The 20,183-nt window shown below is 45.4% G+C and overlaps 1 long non-coding RNA gene across 1 annotated transcript; it reads right to left on the bottom strand.

Moving 5' to 3' along the window:
* Positions 1 to 1,875: 1,875 nt before the first annotated feature.
* Positions 1,876 to 19,939, bottom strand: LOC105371105 (uncharacterized). The gene is made up of 3 exons (XR_933139.2): positions 19,866 to 19,939; positions 18,399 to 18,689; positions 1,876 to 1,957 (listed from the first exon to the last, which is right to left on the bottom strand). It is a non-coding gene; the product is annotated as an uncharacterized LOC105371105 (long non-coding RNA).
* Between the last annotated feature and the right edge of the window lie 244 nt (positions 19,940 to 20,183).

Below are 20,183 nucleotides of genomic sequence, written 5' to 3'. Positions count from 1 at the left end.
AACTTGCCTAAGCAAAAAAATATATATATAACATAAAATTCACCTTCAAGGGATGGGGCTGGAGTTACCCCCGGAAGCAAGAAGAAAAATTATGCAGAGCGCCTGGTATATCCATCAGAGACCACCAATGTGTTCCTGTCACCCCAACAGGAAGCAGAGAACCCAAGGCTGTGTTGGCAAGTAGAAGACCCTAGGGACCCAGAGGGCCCAGAGAGCCCAGGGATTCCCAGTGCAAAACCTCAGATGCCTTGGTGCCTTAAGGAAAAACACACCAGCCTCATGCTGCCTAACTTCAGCAAGAAAAAAAAGGACCATTCCCTTAATACAAGCCTCAATTGCCCTGATGCCTTATGGCTGTTATTTTAGAGAATTATAATGCCACCTATGATTAATACCGCAATGTGGTCACACAGCAAACGCTCATTAAGTAACCTCCCAGCATAAATACCAAGAAAATCCAGACTTACCACGGCTTCATATACATTTTAGATTTTTGCTAAATTGGCCCTTGATAAAGCGTGTGGCCACCTTCATCACAGAAATCAGCTTCCTTCCCAGGCCTAAAATTAGAAGCCCCAACTGCCAGTCGTTAGGTACAGAGCTCAATGCCTGCTGAGATTCCCCTCTCATTTATCTTCTGCGGGGAGCATTTCAAGTTATCGCCAGCTCTCGTATCAGCTGGCCCGGGGAAGGGCAGCAGGCAGCGAGAGGGGCAGCTAACATAGGAAGAGGTCAGCAGGTGAGGGGTGGCTCTGGAGGCGGTGGAACTGGCTGGTCCCTGGAAAGCTTCCCGCTGCAGGTCTAGAGTGGAGAACTCGGACTCCAACAGGGAAGAGTGTGGCTGGGAAGAATTACAGACCAGATCCATGGCTGGATTCTGAATTTAGATGGGGCCCGTAACAATTTGCCTAAATGATTTATTTCAACAATCAACACATCCATATGCTCAGCCACTCAGAATGATGACTGAAATAAAAATGAAAGGTAACAGGCCAGGCATGGTGGCTCACACCTGTAATCCCAGCACTTTAGGAGGCCGAGGTGGGAGGATTGCTTGAGCCCAGGAATTCAAGACCAGCCCTGGCAATATAGTGAGACTGCATCTCTACAAAAAAAAAAAAAAAAAAGGAGCGAGAGAAAGAGAGAGAGAATTGGATGCATGCTATAACAGCCTATGATGGTAGATCCAGCTGGTCTGGGGAAAGAGGAGAGTATCCAACTGGGCTTCCCCAAGGTCATGAATTTTTTTTTTTTTTGAGACAGTCTCACTCTGTCACCCAGGATGAGGTGCAATGGTGCAATTACAGTTCACTGCAGCCTCGACCTTCCAGGCTCACATGATCCTCCCACCTCAACATCCTAAGTAGCTGGGACTACAGGCATGCAGCACCACATGCAGCTAATTTTTTGATTTTTTTTTTCTTTTGGTAGAGATGGGGTCTCACTTCATTGCCCAGGCTGGTCTGTAACTCCTGGGCTCAAGCGAACCTCCCACCTCCGCCTCCCAAAGTGCTGGGATTACAGGTGTCAGCCATCAGGCCTGGCCAGATGATGACATTTAAGCTAAGACTAGGACAATGAGGAGTTATCCAGGTGTCAAGTGAGAGGAATGCATTTATACAGAGATAGTAACATGTGCAAAGGCCCTGGGGTGAGAAGGAGTTCCATGTGTTGAAGGAATTGGAATGTTGGGAGGAATGAAAAGGGTGTGGCAAAATATGTGGGCTGGGGAGGGAGGCAGGGGCTAGCTCAGGCAGGATGAGATAAACTCTGCTAAGGATTGTATGTGCTCACAGAAACTCATTAACACTTCACTGAATGCTAATATTTATTTATCAGGTTTCAGAGTCTGTTTGTTTGTGAGGGGAGGGTTTTCCATCTTCTCCACTTGAATATAAACTCCTTGAAGGCAATGACCTTTGGTTCACAGTTCTATCACCAGCACCTAGAACAAGAACTAGAACAAAGGCAAATAAAGACACCCTTATCAGGCACAATGCTGCAAAGACTTAGTGGTTATCTTCCAGGAGCCAGTGAAGGGCCAGACCTTTCTTAGGAATGTGCAGGATTTGAACTCCCCAGACCTCCTGAGTCAACTCTTTACTGCAGGGGACCATACAGAGATGAGAAAGATGCGACATTCTTTCACTTCTGGGTAGCAGAGTCAACAAATGGAACCAGGGTGCCCCCAACGCCCGTTACCTATGACATCTTCCTCTGAAATAAGCTCAACAGAAGATGGTCCCTGGCTACAGTGACTTTTGTCAGGGATCTCCAAGACCACCCTCAGGCCCATTGATTTGCCAGAAGGACCCACAGAATCAGGAAAGCCATTGTCCCCATGAACATTGTTTATTGCACTAAAAGGATACAGATTAAAATCAACCAAGGTACAAGATGCATAGGTCTCTCCAAGAGAGACCAGGGGTAAGTTTCCAGTAGTTTTCTCCCAGTGGAGTTAGAAGGATAGCTCCTAATGCTCTGTATTAGTCTGTTTTCATGCTGCTGATAAAGACACACCCGAGACTGGGTAATTTATGAAAAAAAAAAAGAGGTTTAATGGACTCGCAGTTCCACGTGTCTAGGGAGGCCTCACAATCATGGCAGAAGAGCAAGGGAGAGCAAAGGGATGTCTTACATGGCGGCTGGCAAAGAGAGAATGAGAGCCAAGTGAAAGGGGTTCTCCTTATAAAACCATCAGATCTTGTGAGACTTATTCACTGCCATGAAAACAGTATGGGGGAAACCACTCCTGTGATTCAATTACTTCCCACTGGGTCCCTCTCACAACACGTAGGAATTGTGGGGGCTACAATTCAAGATGAGATTTGGGTGGGGACACAGCCAAGCTATAAGAGACAATTAGCAATGTATACAAAGTACTGCCAGCCACAGCAGCTCCCCCAAGCCTTGGTGTCCAGGGGTTTTATCAGCATTTCATCACCCAGGCATGGAGCACCTGCATGGGTGACTTTTGTTACTCAGTCTCCAGCCCCTCTAGAGGTCAAACTGACACATACAAAAACAGGCACTCACCATAAATTGCATTGTTAGCATGGACTAGCTAGCTCAGCCTGAGGCCATAGGTAAACAAAGACACTCTTATCAGGCAGAATGTTCCAAAGACTTGGCGGTTATCTCCCAGGAGCCAATCAACGGCCAGAGCTTTCTTTGGAATGTGCAGGATTTGAACTCCCCAGACCGGCTGAGTCAACTCCTTACTGCATGGGGACCATATAGAGATGAGAAAGATGCCATATTCTTTCACTTCTGGGTAGCAGAGTCAACAAATGGACCAGGCTGAACGAAGACAGTCAGGTAGAACCAGAAACCACCTCCACCTGCACCCCTGCATAGGACCTAAAAAAATGTCATAGGACCATGACAACTTTTTTGAGACAGGGTCTCAGTCTGCCACCCAGGATGAAGAGCAGTGGTGCAATCATAGCTCACTGCAGCCTCAACCTCCCGGGCTAATGCTATCCTCCCATCTCAGCCTCCCAAGTAGCTGGGGGCATGCACCACATCTGGCTAATTTTTTGACTTTTTTTTTTTTTTTTGGAGAGATGGGGTCTCACTTCGTTGCCCAGGCCGGTCTCTAACTCCTGGGCTCATCAGGAGTTAGATGATCACCCAGATGAACAACAGGGACCTCATCCCTCCCCAGGGGTCCTGGGGTAGGACCCTCAGCAGATGAGAGGAGTAGCTCTCCTGGCCCATACCCATGCCCTGTTGTGGTGTTTATAAGCCTGTCATAGGTCAGGTTTCTAGAGAGACAAGCTGTGGGATGGAGATCTGGGTGCAGGGGGTTTACTGGGAGGAGCACCTGCTGGAAAGCAAGGAAGCAGCATTGGGCAGAGAGGGGAGTGGCACTGTGGAACAGTCGCCAGGACCCCTGAGACACCCCCTGTGATGGTTAATACTGAGTGTCAACTTAATTGGATTGAAGGATACAAAGTATTGTTTCTGGATGTGTCTGTGAGGGTGTTGCCAAAAAAGATTAATATTTGAGTCAGTGGACTAGGAAAAGCAGACCCACCCTCAATCTGGGTGGGCACCATCTAATCAGCTGCCAGCATAGCTAGAATATAAGCAGGCAGAGCAGCATGGAAGGGCTTGACTGGCTGAGTCTTCCAGCCTTCATCTTTCTCTCGTGCTGGATGCTTCCTGCCCTCGAACGTCGGACTCTGAGTTCTTCAGCTTTGGGACTCTTGGACCTTTGACCACAGACTGAAGGCTGCACTGTTAGCGTCCCTACTTTTGAGGCTTTGGGATTTGGACTGGCTTCCTTGCTCCTCAGCTTGGAGATGGCCTATTGTGAGACCTCACCTGGTGATCGTGTGAGTCAATACTCCTTAATAAACTCTGCTTTTTATATACATCTATACTATTAGTTCTGTCCCTCTAGAGAACGCTGACTAATACACTCCCATACAGAGGGGCAAGGGACAGAGCCTTTGTAACCCTCCAGGATTATGGGATGCCTAGGAGGGGAGGAGGATTTCCCAGCACTAGGTGGCTTCCTACAGGTGCCTTCTTGCCAGAGGCAGGACTTTGCTATGAGCTGTTAGCAGCCAGGTCTCCCAGCAGCTGGGGGGACAGAGGGCCTCGGTGGTCCTGCACAGAGGTCTGAGTGGTGCAGCACCCACAGCGAAGCCAGTGACCAAAGTGGAAAGATAAAGATATGAAAATCTTTCAACTAATTAAGATTTAAAACTCAGATTGATGTGAGAATCCTGAATTGACTGTTTACCAAAGAGACTAGGTTTTAAATGAGAAGGGTCTGGGTTTACATTGACTTGGCAAGACTGAGTGTCCTATCACTGGAGTGACAAGGGAGGCTGGTGGGGATGGATCCAGGGAAAAGAAGCAAAGTATGGAACAAAGAAGTTTAGAATAAAGAAAGTGGCCAAGGCTGGGCGCCACGGTTCACACCTGTAATCCCAGGGTGGCCAAGGCAGGAAGATTGCTTGAGCCCAGAAGTTCAAGGCTGCAGTGAGCTATGATCATGCCACTGCACTCCAGCCTGGGTAACAAAGCAAGAAAAAAAAAAAGCAAGAAAGGAAGGGAGGGATGGAGGAAGGAAGGAAGGGAGGGAGGGAAAGAGAGAGAGAAAGAGGAAAGAAAGAGAAAGAAGAAGGAAAAAAGAAAGAAGAAAGAAAGAAAGGAAGGAAGGAAGAAAGAAAGAAAGAAAGAAAGAAAGAAAGAAAGAAAGAAAGAAAGAAAGAGACAGAAAGAAAAAGAAAGAAAGAAAGAAAGAAAGAAAGAAAGAAAGAAAGAAAGAAAGAAAGAAAGAAAGAAAGAAAGAGGCATCAAACCTCACAGGTTGAGGTAACTGTAAATACACGGTAGTTTATCCCTGAGCACAAAATCTCAATGGCACAGTCAAAGCCCCAAAGAAGTAAGAAACAAACATCATTTCCACCTTTTGGGCCTGAAGAAGCAGGTACATTAGAGAAGGGCAGCCACAATATCTGTGAACAGTCATTAAGCTCTCAGACACAGCATCCCACCTTCACCAATCTGATCTCCTTGACGGGGGTGATGCTCCCTCCAAGATAACAAAGAAAACCTGGCCAGGCACGGTGGCCCACGTCTGTAATCCCAGCATTTTGGAAGGCTGAGGCAGGAGGATTGCTAGAGCCCAGGAGTTCAAGACCAGCCTGGGCAACATCGTGAGACCCCCGTCTCTTAATAAAATAAGAAAAAAGAAAAGAAAACCTTCCCTTTACATGAAGGCATCATACTTTAAATGCACATCCCATCTGCCCAGGAGGCTCACCTCTAGATTTGTATCCTACTGATGAACACACACCAAGATGGACATACTAGCATAAATTGTGGAGAATGACAGAAAATATCCTGAATGTCCACCATGAGGGAACTGATTAATTTATACACATCCGTATACTGGAATACTACACAGCTGATAAAAAGAATAAGGAATGTCTATATGGACTGCTATGCAAAAACCTCAAAGATATATTGTTGAATGAAGTCAAGATGCAGTGTAATATGTACAATGGGCTATCATTTATAAAACCGGGAGGAGACATATATACATATGTTTTTCTATATAAAGATTGTATCTCTGGAAACTTTCAAGAGAAGCCAGCAACACTTGTGACCTTGGAGAAGAAGAACTGGTGGTTGGGATGGAAAACAAACTTAATTTTCACTGTATACTTTTTCTGGTACTGTTTAATTTTTTTTTTTTTTTTACCATATGCACACGTTTTCTATTCAAAAGAGAATTTTTTTTTAACTGGAAACAATGAAAAATCTTATAGGCATACAAACTAAATTAATTAGCCATCCCTATAGCTTCAACATGCATTTCAATTTGCAAGCACCCTGGCCTCCAAGATTGATTGATTGGCTGTAAATTGAGAACCTCAGCAATTTCCTTTCACAGGGACAGATGTTGACATTATTCCTGTGATTTTTCACAGATGTTTGCCTTCCAGCATCTTTAAAATCGAGTTTTCTGTCAATTTGGAAATCCCAAATTTCTCATATCAAATCGAGATGACAGGAAAATCAAAACCATTATCACATTTTGAAAGAGTTTATGGATGGCAAATGACACTGGGAAGGGAGATGTTTAAGGAGCAGCCGACGTCTCTTAACCCTTTCTCATCACTTCCTGCCTCAGTTTACCTAAGCCAGAAAAAGGGGAAATTTGATTCAATATACAGACAAGGGCTTTAGAGTCTGCGTAGCTGTGCGATCTCACTTTGGCTCCAACTCTCTAGCTGTGATACTTTGAACCAGTTCATTAACTTGCCCAGCCTCCTCTCTCTCATCTGTAAAATGGGGATAATATCCCCAGCCTTGCAGTGTGATTTTACAATTCACTGATGCAAAAACGGAAAATGTGTGGCACTTAGCACCACCTAAATGTTTTTTTCCTTTTATTTTTCCCTTTCCCTCCTCCTTCACCAATCCTCCAAGCAGCTTTTCTTCCTTCTTCACGTCCACATTTTGCTCACGAGATTCCAAGATTTACCCACTGAAGCTCTCATGAGATTCCCAGATTTACCCATTGTTGAGAAATCAGAAACATCCCCCACCCCCTAGAATTCTCCTGACCTGTGTCCCCTCCCCTTAGGACTCTGCTCTCCCTCAGTGACAACAGGCAGGAATATGATCTACTCATACAAACCAAACCTCTGCTGTTTATACATCTTAGCTAATAATGCCCAACACGCAGCCAACGTTTACTAAGTCAGGCTCTTGAGAGCCACTTCATCTGCATGACGCCACAAAATCCTCTCAGTTATTATTTCTGTTTTAGAGATATGGAAATGAGCACCAGAGGTAGATGTAACTTGACAAATATCTGGGTGGTAGATCTGGAAATCAAAGAACCCTGAACCCCAACCACAGACACATCTTCAGTTCAGGCTGGGTCTCTACGCTTTGTTATTTTTAACGGGGCATTATGCTCCCTGGATGGCTATGATGCTGTGGTTAACTCTGCTCTTGTGGATGAATGCAATTATCTGGGGAGCTCGCACTTATAAGATGTACAGCTATGGGCAACCTAAGGCACATCGTGGAGTCTTAATTTCCTCATCTGTCAAATGAGAATAGCAAGGATGGCAGGGAGGGATTAAGGAGCATTTTTGGAAAAGGAAGTGCTATGAAATGAACGTTTGTGCCTCCACCCCCAAACTGATATGTCGAAGCTGACACCCTAATTACCAGTGTTACGGTATTTGGGTATTTGAAGATGCGGCTTTGGTGATTATGTTTAGATGAGATCATAAGCCTAAGGTCCTGGAGATGTGATGTGTCCATATTAGAAGAGACACCAGAGATGTCTTTCTCTGTCTCTCACTCTTGCTTGATCTCTCCCTCTCTCTCTTGCACTCTCTCATGCTTGCGTGCTCTCTCTCTCCCCTGTGAGGATACAACAAGAAGGCTTCCAACTGAAAGCCACAAAGAGGGCCCTCACTGGAGAAACAAATCACCCAGCACCTTGATCTTCGAATTCCCAGCCCCCAGAATAGTGAACAATAAATGTCTCCTGTTTAAGCCACGTAGTATGTGGTATTTTGTATGGCAGCCTGAGCAGACTGCCACAGTAGATGGTTGGTCCTTCCTCCAACCAATAATAGATGGCTTGTCCTTTCCATCGCCCACCTTGGGCAAGGCAAACAGGACAGTGAAGGCAAGCACATCTCACAGACACCAGCATTCATGTGCTAATGAGGCTCACTACTAGTATTGGAAAGATGGGAAGTCAAACAGAATTATGTCCTTGCGAACATACAATAACTTGGAAAATTTATTGAAAGACATTAAGTTTGCATACACACAAAAATGAGTGAAGAGTTTTTTGTTCCATTGAATAATTTAGAGGACATGTAAGAGAACACAAGTTTGAAATCTTATTATATTTTGTATAATGATACATAATAATTTCCATGATAAAGCTGATGTGTATTGAGGAGATCATATGTGCCAAGCACTCACTGTGTGTTAAGCATATTCTATTCATTGTATCATTTAATCCTCAAAATATGATCACCGCCTGTATTGACTGGGGTTTTCCAGAGAAACAGAACCAATGTCTAAACAGAGAAAGAGATTTCACGCAATTATGGAGGCTAACAAGTGCTGTCATCTGCAGGGCGAGGCAGCAAACTGGAGACCCCAGAGAACTGATGGTGTTAGTTCCAGTCCTAAGGCCAGCAGGCTCGAAACCCGGAAAGAGCAGTGTTTCAGTCTGAGTACAAAGGCAGAAAAAAGCCAATGGTGCAGTTTAAAAACCTTCAGGCAGGAGGAATTCTCTCTTACTTCGGAAAGGACCGACTTTTGCTCTATTCAGGTCTTCCGTGGATTGGATGAAGTCCACCCACATTAGGAGGGGCAACTGCTTCCCTCAATCTGCCAATTTAAATGACAGTCATCCCAAAACGCCCTCACGAACACACCCAAAATGATGTTTAGGCAAATAGCTGTGCACCCTGTATCCCTAAGAGTTAACACATAAAACCTACCAACCCATCACTCTTTCCAAATAGAAAAAGTGAGGCTCAGAGAGGTTAAGTCACTTCCCCAAAGTCACAGAGCTTCTTATAAGTGGTGGAGGGTTTGACTGAGGACCCATGCTCTATTGTAATCATAGAAAATCCTAGTGGAATTTTCCAATAGAATAAAACACCTGCCCAGCTGCAGCCAAACGTTCCATAGACAATGTCTCTGGGCCTTTTGTGGCAGAAAAACCAACATAAGGAAAAGAAGGCTGGAGATGCCAGTTTTATCAAACTCCCATAAGGTAAAGGGAAATATCTTTCTGGGGAAAGGAGACTAAAGGAGAAAATTAACAGCCACTTTTCAGGGAGAGAGAAAGAGCAGGGACCCAGCCCCTCTGAGACTGTGGGCTGGGTGTGGCCTGAGCTGATTGGCAGCTCCACTGTAACTATACTGTAAAGGAATGACTCTACCGAAACTGAGCTAAAGGAGAGTTTGAAGCATTTTTAAAAACTCTGCCCAGGCCAGGCATGGTGGCTCATGCCTGTAATCTCAGCACTTTGGGAAGCTGAGGCAGGCAGATCATTTGAGATCAGGAGTTCAAGACCAGCCTGGACAACATGGTGAAACCTCATCTCTACTAAAAATACAAAAATTAGCTGGGTGTGGTGGTGCACACCTGTAATCCCAGCTCTTTGGGAGGCCAAGACAGGTGAATCACCTGAGGTCGGGAGTTTGAGACCAGCCAGGCCAACATGGTGAAATCCCATCTCTACTAAAAACACAAAAATTAGCTGAACATGGTGGTGGACACCTGTAATCCCAGCTACTTGGGAGGCTGAGGCAGGAGAATCACTTGAACCCAAGAGGCAGAGGTTGCGGTGAGCCAAGACTGCGCCACTGCACTCCAGCCTGGGTGACAGAGCGAGACTCTGTCCAAAAAAAAAAAAAAAAATTCTCAGACAACCAGCACTGATACAAGAGATAAAAGGCATCTGGCTTTACGCTGCAAACAAAACGGAAACAGGAAGTGAGAGAGCAGTTGGCCTCTAAGAAGCATCCATTTATTTTACCCTGCCAGGTGCCTACAAGGTGATGGTTTTGCCTCCCAAATATAATCAGGGGCCCAATCTCTGCATTCAAAGAAGTATATTTCAGCAACCCATAAGTAATCCAAAAGCAGTTCCCCACACATCAGCTCAAACAGTGTTACAGGGCAGGCATTCTTGGTGCCATCAGATCCAATGTCCCATGTTTTAACCAACCAATTGAAAAGCCCTCTTTTTTTTTTGAGACAGGGTCTCACTCTATAGTCCAGGCTGGAGGGCAGTGGTGGGATCTTGGCTCATTGCAACCTCCACCTCCTGAGTTCAAGCGATTCTCGTGCCTCAGCCTCCCGAGTAGCTGGGATTACAGATGCGTGCCACCATGCCCGGTACATTGTTTTTTTTGTATTTTTGGTAGAGACAGGGTTTCACCATGTTGGCCAGGCTGGTCTCGAACTCCTGACCTCAAATGATCCACCAGCCTCAGCCTCCCAAAGTGCTGGGATTATAGGCGTGAGCCACCATGCCCAGCTGAAAAGCTCTCTTTTCTACCCTGAAAAAAAAAAAATGTGCTGATCCTATAACCCATCTACTCTTCTAACCAATCACAATTGTGCCCTAATTATAATAAAAAGGAGAAATGAAATGATGAGGATTTCTAATGAAATAATATATAGAGAAATGATTTGGGTTTCCACCAGGAAAGACGGAGCGAAGCAGTCAAGTGCTCACACACGTGTGTGTAGAATAACCAGTGACAGTCACAAACGCAGACAGCGTGGTGTGTTGTCGCATCGGCTTTACTGAGAGTGCCATGTTCTTCAAAAGAGTGGCTCTTTCTTGATAAATTCCCATACCAAACAGAGTCAAATCTTCTCTTGATTTACACCATAGCTGCTACATTCTTGGAAACATCAGTGTTCATTCAACACTTACATGTAAAATAGAACATGTAAACATATAAAATAGAATAGGCAGATAAAATAGAAGAAGGTTGGACCGGGCGTGGTGGCTCACACCTGTAATCCTAGCACTTTGGGAGGCCGAGGTGGGCCGATCACAAGATCAAGAGAGCAAGACCATCCTGGCCAACAGGGTGAAACTCCGTCTCTACTAAAAATACAAAAATTAGCTGGACGTGGTAGTACCCGCCTGTAGTCCCAGCTACTCGGGAGGCTGAGGCAGGAGAATCGCTGGAACCGGGGAGGCAGAGGTTGCAGTGAGCCGAGATGGCACCACTGCACTCCAGCCTGGGTGACAGAGTGAGACTCTGTTTCAAAAAAAAAAAAAAAAATAGAACAAGGTTATAGACTCTGATAATCATGGTTCTTCTAACCCATATGAATTTGGGATCTACACATATATATATTCAAAAAACTACCCCACACCGTAATGACTCCCCCATCCCTATCATTAGGGCAACCAAAAGCTCTCTGCAGATTTAAAACACACACACACAAACACACACACACACACACACACAAACACACACACACACAAACACACACACACAAACACACACACACACACAGACACACACACACACACACAAACACACACACACACACAAACACACACACATGGGACAATTCAGTCCCCAGTGAGAACCTCTGTAATAAAAGGTCCAATTCCTAACCTGCAATAATACTCTTTTTTTTTTTTTTGAGACAGAGTCTCGCTGTCGCCCGGGCTGGAGTGCAGTGGTGCGACCTCAGCTCACTGCAAGCTCCGCCTCCCAGGTTCACGCCATTCTCCTGCCTCAGCCTCCCGAGTAGCTGGGACTACAGGCATCCGCCACCATGGCCGGCTACTTTTTTGTATTTTTAGTAGAGACGGGGTTTCACTGTGTTAGCCAGGATGGTCTCGATCTACTGACCTCGTGATCTGCCCGCCTCAGCCTCCAAAGTGCTGGGATTACAGGCGTGAGCCACCACGCCTGGCCCACAATAATATTCTTAAAGTCCCCTTTCCCGCCTCCTCAGTTCTCCCACAATTCCCAGTTTCCCCAGAACAAACCCCAAGAGATTTCTCTGCCCTTCCCCCACCCCCAGGCAGCGATGTCTTCCAACTCTTCCCCAGCACTGTAACTCTCCACTCTGGTCAAGTGGACTCCACCTTGGGGAAAGAATGTTTGTACCGGGCACCAAACTAGACTTTGGAGATACACTAGTTCTTAGTATCTGCTAGTATCTGCTACTGTGATAATTAAGGTAATTATTTAGACCAGGAATCTGCAAAATACAGCCTGAAGGCCAAATCCGAGCTGCCTGTTTTCCTATGGCCTGAAAGCTAAGAAAGAATGGTTCTTACATTTTATATTATTATTATTATTATTATTATTATTATTTTGAGATGGAGTCTCGCTCTGTCGCCCAGGCTGGAGTGCAGTGGCACCATCTCAGCTCACTGCAACATCTGCCTGCCAGGTTCAAGCGATTCTACTGCCTCAGCCTCCTGAGTAGCTGGAATTACAGGCACCTGCCACCACACCCAGCTAATTTTTGTATTTTTAGTAGAGACAGGGCTTTACCATGTTGTCCAGGCTGGTCTCGAACTCCTGACCTCAGGTCATCCGCCCACCTCGGCCTCCCAAAGTACTGGGATTACAGGCATGAGCCACTGCGCCCAGCTAGTTCTTACATTTTAAATAGTTAGTGGGAAAAAGACAAAAGGAATAATACGTCATTACATGACAATTATATGAAATTCCAATTTCAGAGTTTATAAATAAAGTATTGTCTGTGGCTGCTTTTGCACTACAACGGCAGGGTTGCATGGTTGCAAGAGAGCACATGGCCCCCAAAGCCTCAAATAATCCACTATCTGGGCCTTTACAGTAAGGTTGTCAGCCCCTGGCTTAGGCACTAAACAAGTGCTTTCAAGCACCTACTATATGCCAGACACTAAGGTAATAGAGAGGGGAGACAATCAACAAGAAGCATTCTTTCTCAAAAGTTTTAGGCTGGGCACAGTGGCTAAAGCCTATAATCCCAGTACTTTGGGAGGTCGCGGCAGGAGGGTCAATTGAATGCAGGAGTCCAAGACCAGCCTAGGCAACATAGTAAGACCCCGTCTCCTCAAAAAATGCAAAAAAACAAAAAAAAAAATTAGTTGAGCATGGCAGTGTGTGCCTGTAGTCCCAGGTAGTTGGGAGGCTGAGGTGGGAGGATCACTTGAGCCCAGGAGGTCAAGGCTGCAGTGAGCCAAGCCATGATGGTGCAATGGCACTGCAGCCTGGGAGACAGAGTGAGACCCTGTCTCAAATAAATAAATAAGTAAATTAATTAATTAATTAAATTAAAAGCATGTTATTCAGAATCACATAGACTTGGGCTCAGCTCTTCAGCCATAAGCATGTTTCTTTTCTCTTTTTCTTTTTTTTTTTTTTTTTTGTTGACACAGAGCCTTGCTCTGTCACCCAGGTTGGAGTGCAGTGGCACAATCTTGGCTGACTGCAACCTCCACCTCGTGAGGTCAAGCGATTCTCCTACCTCAGCTTCCTGAGTAGCTGGGATTACAGGCACGTGCCACGATGTTCGGCTAATATTTGTTTTTCTTTCTTTTTTTTTTTTTTTTGAGATGGAGTTTCGCTCTTTTTGCCCAGGCTGGAGTGCAATGGTGCAATCTCAGCTCACTGCAACCTCCTGCCTTCCGGGTTCATTCGATTCTCCTGTCTCAGCTTCCCGAGTAACTGGGATTACAGGTGCATGCCACCACACCTGGCCTAATGTTTGTATTTTTAGTAGAGACAGGGTTTCACCATGTTGGCCAGGCTGGTCTCGAATGCTGTACCTCATGATCCGCCCACCTCAGCCTCCCAAAGTGCTGGGATTACAAGTGTGAGCCACCGCGCCCGGCCCATGAGCATGTTTCTTGACCTCAGTTTCCCCTTCTGTAAAGCATGGTGTGGATTGTTCACCTCACATGGGCATGTGAATATCAAATGAGACATCCTGTGCAATGTGCCTCAGACAAAGAAAGGAGATCAGCAAATAATATTTCCTTTCTAGTTCATCCTCTCTTCCCATGTATGCCAAGAAAGCAGGCGAGATTGAGTGAGGGAGGTCATATCCTCTTTGTCTAAATGTTTTCTTGTTAGAGAACATCTTTCTTCTTAACATCCCTTCCTACATAAAGAATCTCTGTCAGAGGAATATTAAAAGGCCCTAACCTACAGTTAGATGGAAGGCGAGACTCCGATCTCACAGCTGAATCACTTTAGTCTACCTCTCTACCCATCTAATGTTACCCCCTTCAAAAATAATAATAATAATATGAAAGTTGGGAAGTGGAAAACCATCCTCTGGAGTTTTCAAAAACTAATTCCGTTGTAATCATAGAAGACTGAAGGCAGGATTCATGACACATTTCTCTTCCTCCTGGGCAGATGAATCTACAATTTGTATTTGATTTTAAATGTGATTCTCCTGCATCTTCAGTGGGTTTGATTGATAGAGCACATGGGGCCACTCAGTAAAATGATACAGTGGAGATCAAAGCCTGAAAGATAATTTTTGCCAAAATGTCTGCAGCCGACAGTGAGTTATAAGCCTTTGTCTCCCACTTTACGGAACACAATTTTATTTAAAGCCGAAATCTGTCCTTTGGTATTGTTTATTGAAATGCATCCCATACCACGGTCCCGTGAAGAACAACGTCAAGTCAAAAGGTAAAAAAATCCAATGGTTACAAACAGCCCAGGACCATATAAAGGAGGGAGAATGCTTCCAATCTGCATAAATATTACCCACCAGTGATGCATTTGGGGCAAGCAATGAAGTCATTCATCTGCAAAGTAAATATCTGGCATTGTCAGAGGTGCCTGACACAGCCCCATAAACCCAGTGAGTTCTGTTCCATTCAGCAGCTCACACATCTCTATTTGATAACTTTGCTTTATTTATGGGTCCACAATGGGAGTCATAACTGGGTTTTTATCTTTGCACAACTTTTTTATTTTTTGAGACAGGGTCTCACTCTGTCACCCAGGCTGGAAGTGCAGTTGTGTGATCACAGCTCACTGCAGCCTCGACCTCCTGTGCCCAAGCAATCCTCCCACCTCAGCCTCCCAAGTAGATGGGATTACAGAAATGCACTTCCACACCTTGCTAATTTATATTAGTTTTTGTAGAGACGGGCTCTCCCTAGGTTGCTCAGGCTGGTCTTGAACTCCTGGGCTCAAGTGATCCTCCCACCTAGGCCTTCCAAGTAGCTGGGACTACAGATGCACACCACCATACCCAGCTAATTTTTAAATTTTTTATAGAAAAGGAGTCTCACTATGTTGCCCAGGCTAGTCTCAAACTCCTGGCCTCAAGACATTCTCCCACCTTGGCCTCCCAAATTGCTGAGATTACAGGTGTGAGCCACTGTGCCCAGCTTGCACAGCTTTTTTAAACCTTTTTTTTTTTTTTTTGCATTCATTCACGCTTTTCATACATCATGATTGAGGATCTACCCTGCAGACTGTATGGAGTTATCTAGAAGGCAGGAAGGCAGAGAACTAAAACCTTTGGTTAAAATATCTGGGGTTGAGCTCAGTGTTTCCTGCTCTCCAGCTATGTGACCTTGATCGGGTCTCTTCACCTGTCTGAACCTCAGTTTCCCCACTGCAAAGTGGAGAGCAAATGAGACCATGGACTTGGAAATGCTTCATACATTTCTGAGTGCCTCACAGATATGAAGCCCAAAGATAGCACCATTCTAGGCTCTGTCAGGACAATGAGGCCAAAGTTGTCACTGATGCCATAAAGTTGTCTCTACAGCGAAAGGTCCCTGGAATTAGCAGGAGGCTTTTGTGGAGCAAATGCCTCCTTTTCTGCGTAGAAAGTGAGATGCCTCAATCACTCTGCCTAGATGCCTCTAGATGCCTCAATTCCTCTGCCACCAACAGACTCTGTGACATTGGGTCACTTTTGAGATTCCTGGGTCCTGCCTACTTCACCAGAATGTCATGTTCTGGAACCTTCTCAGTCTCCAACCTCATCACTCACAAGCTTTTCTTATGCTTTGATAGATGCTACGATTGCTTGTCAAAAAAAGAGCCTCTCTTCTCCGTTGCTAAGAGAACCCCAATTTTTAAAGTATTGAACAGTCACATGCTTTAGGAGAAGTTGCCCTTCTGAGCCTCAAGGAGTGAATCTTGACTGACCTAAACTAATCATAGTAATACTGACCCCCTGTCTAGTGATTGCTTTCGAATAGGCACGTGACCCATTGTGACCAATGAGAGTTGATGGAAATTTCCTCCTTGCTGTCAACAATGGACACAAGGAAGACACATTTTCTCCTCTGACCTTTGGACATTGAACGTTATTGTGTTAGGATGTGATGTAAGGCACTGTGGCACCCATTTTGTGCTCATTAGAGGAAAAGACTGGAATTAAGCCCTTGCTCTGTAAGTCAGAGCACAAAGATGGCAAGAGCCCAGGTCTTTGATGATACAACTGAACTACTGAATAAACCAACCCTAGACTCACCTACCCCCAAATTCCTTTTAATGTGAGAGAATAATGTCCCATCTTGTTTAAGCAATTTCAGGTTTCCATTACTTACTAATGAATATATTTGGATTCCAAGTTGTTATTTCCTTGCATGGAATGCTTCTGACACAACTCACCCTTGCTAGCCTCAAGGGTGGTGGCCGAACTGGGGAGGGTCCAAGAGGAATTGCAAAAAACAGAGCTGCAAGGAGCAGCCTTATCTCTGACCGCTGTGGTGAGCCCTCCACTTTGTATACCCTCCCCCAACCGTGTGACTCTGGATCAGCCAATCAGGTGATCTCTCTTGGCACCTTGACTCATGATGCAAGAACACAGGCCCTATTGGGTTTCCATGAATTCTCTGCAGGGAGAGCAGGGGTCCCCAGATCAGCCTATCCCTAACGCATGCCCTTGGAGGAGTTGCCGCTATAAAGCTATCTGGAGTCACCTTGTATGGGGTGTTTTCCAAGGCTGGGCCTTCAGCAATGCCTTCGGCATGTTCTCTTTCTTTGGTAAGAGTCAGTTTCTGGGGTGAACAACTGAGAACTCAGGGACATAGACAAGAAATCATGTCTCATTCTTAAAAGCCTCAGCACAAGTCCTGGCATAGAGTAAGTGTTGATGGGAGGTTGGATGAATGAATAAAGGAGTGAGAAAGTTAATTGCTTCCCTTCTCTGGGCTGCTGTATCAATCAAGGTTGTGGCAGGAAATACATAGTAAACTCAAATGGGGTAACTAAAAAGAGTTTAGCAAAGGGCTATATATAGCTGTATAAGTGGGATTAAAAAAAACAAAAACAAAAAGGGAGGTTGCAGTAGCCCTAACTAGCAGCAGTGAGGAGCCATTTCTACCCCTAGACCTGGAGGAGAAATAGTTATGGAACCCAAGGAGAGTAGCCACAGTCTTCAGGGAAAGACAGCTGCCTGGCAGGAGCTTCCAACCTATGGCAACCCAACAGGAAGGAGCCACAGAAATAAATATCCGAATCCCTCTCTCCTCCCACCTTCTAGTATTCTATGATCCCCACCCCATTGGCCAAACCCAAGCAGCCACAAGAGGATGGGAGACCACATGTGATGTAGTCCATAGAAGTCAGCCTCCTGGGGTACAAAGCAGGAAATGGGGGTGGACAGTGGATGTAAAGGAGCAAATACAAAATATCCGGCACAGATATTGCTATGGTTTGCATGTGTTCCCCAAAGTTCAAGTGCTGGAAACTTAATCCCTGATGCAACCGTGTTGAGAGGTGAGGCCTTCAAGAGGTGTTTGGATCATGGGGACATCATCTTTCTGAATGGATTAATGCCTTTATCATGGGAGCGGGCTGGTTTTCACAGGAGTAGGTGCTCTCTCTCACCCTCTCTCTCACCCATGTGATGCCTTGGGTCACACCATGATGCAGCAAGAAGGCCTTCACCAGATGTAAGCTCTCAACCTCGGACTTCCCAGCCTCCAGGACTGTGACCCAAGTAAATTTCTATTCATTGTAAATTACCTGGTCTGTGGTATTCTGTTATAGCAGCACAAAATGGACTAAGACAGATAGTATCTAGTGATAGGATAGACTACAAGAATCTCTTTCACCCAGATCCTGCAGCCACAAAAGGGCCAACGCTCTTTGGAGAGTTTATCTCTCACCCAAGCAGCCACCAGCATCATCAGCAAACAGCAATGTTCCTCTACACGCTTGTGTGTTTCCTTCATTGGTACAAGTTTCCACCATTGTTTTGCTCATAAGAGAAACCATTCTCCAAAGCCCAGAGTAATTATAGAGCCCAGAAGTCTTGGGGCTTTCTGAATTTGAAGCAGATTCAGGGCTCAAGAGAGCCAAGAAGTCATATCAATGCCAGGAATCTGGACCCCAGGCAGACAGCGTGGATAACCTACCCCAACAGAGGTGCAGGCTCTCTTCCTTTCACCCAAAAAATAGCAAACACATTTATTGATCACCGTGGGCCCTTTCCTTCCACCTGGAGGTTAGCAGGAACTTTCAAAGGTTTAGTGTCATCCATATCCCATTGTCTTCTTCATGCACAGAAAAGAGAAACTTCTTCATCTCTGGAAAGGAGACATGGACTCACACTCCCCTTATTCTGAATTTTTGCCCACTAAGCCATTTCACAGGAAGTTAGCCATGGTTTGTGGATTTTTAAATGCTTCTGGGAGGAGAAGGATTTACTAGTGATAAGAAATAAAAATGCAAATGTTTTACTGATGAGATATGCATGTAAAGTGCTTGATATAATGCCTGACATGGAAAAAACACTCAATAAATGTTAGTCATCAGTATTTATATCATCATTCCTTTTAATACACGCCATCGACTGGGTGCAGTGGCTCACGCCTGTTATCCCAGCACTTTGGGAAGCAGAGGCGGGAGGATCACTTGAGCCCAGGAGTTTGAGACGAGCCTGGGCAACATAAGAAGACCCCATCTCTATAAAAGAATCTTTAAAAATTACCTAGGTATGGTGGCATGTGCATACAGTCCCAGCTACTCAGGAGGCTGGGGTGGGAGGATCAATTTGAGCCCAGGAGGTCAAAATGAGGCTGCAGTGAACCATGATAGTACAAAAAAATAGTTAGAAAGAATGAATAAGGCCGGGCGCGGTGGCTTACTCCTGTAATCCCAACACTTTGGGAGGCCAAGGTGGGTGGATCACGAGGTCAGGACTTCGAGACCAGCCCGGTCAATATGGTGAAACCCCGTCTCTACTAAAAAATACAAAAGTTAGCCGGGCGTGGTGACAGGCGCCTGTAGTCCCAGCTACCCAGGAGGCTGAGGCAGGAGAATTCCTGGAACCTGGGAGGCAGAGGTTGCAGTGAGCCAAGATCGCACCACTGCACTCCAGCCTGGGCGACAGAGCAAGACTCCATCTCAAAAAAAAAAAAAAAAAGAATGAATAAGACCTACTATTTGCTAGCACAATGGGGTGACTATAATCAAAAACAATTTAATCGTACATTTTAGAATAACTAAAAGAGAATAATTAGATTGTAACACAAAGGAAAACGCTTGAGATGATGGATACCCCATTTAGCCTGATGTGATAATTACACATTGCATGCCTATAATATCTCACGTAACCCATAAATATATACACCTACGATGTAGTCACAAAAACTAAAACTAAATATAAAACAACAAGCATTTATCATCTAATTGTCTGGATTTGGAACCCACAAGCCAACTCAGCTAAGTGCTCTGGCTTAGGGTCTCCAATGAGGCTGCAGGTAAGATGTCAGCCAGGACTGCAGTCATCTGAGCGTTTCTGGGGCTGAAGACTAGGCTTCCAGGCTCACTGTGTGGTTGTCTCTATTCCTTACTGGCTCTTAGAAACCTCAATTCCTCACCACGTGGGCCTCTCCGTAAAGTGCCTTAGTGTCCTCAAAACATGGCAGCTGGCTTCCTCCAAAGCGACTGATCCAAGAAAGAGAAAGAAAGAGCCAACAATGGAAGCTGCAGTCTTTCATGACGTAATCGCGGAAGTGACATAACATCACTTCTGCGGCATTGGTCACACACGAGCCCCAACATGGATCTTTCCAGCGTGGGAGGGGACTAAACAAGGTGTGAATGGCAGCAGGCAGGGATTGTTGCGGGCCATCTTGAAAACTGGTTCCCTCAGAGGAGAGCTGGAAGGCTGGGGACAAGGACACAAGAGAGGCTTT

This window comes from Homo sapiens, chromosome 16, assembly GCF_000001405.40.
Source record: "Homo sapiens chromosome 16, GRCh38.p14 Primary Assembly".
Classification (NCBI taxonomy): Eukaryota; Metazoa; Chordata; class Mammalia; order Primates; family Hominidae; genus Homo; species Homo sapiens.
The sequence above is the reverse complement of the archived record's forward strand: the minus strand, read 5'-3'. Positions and strand labels throughout refer to the sequence as shown.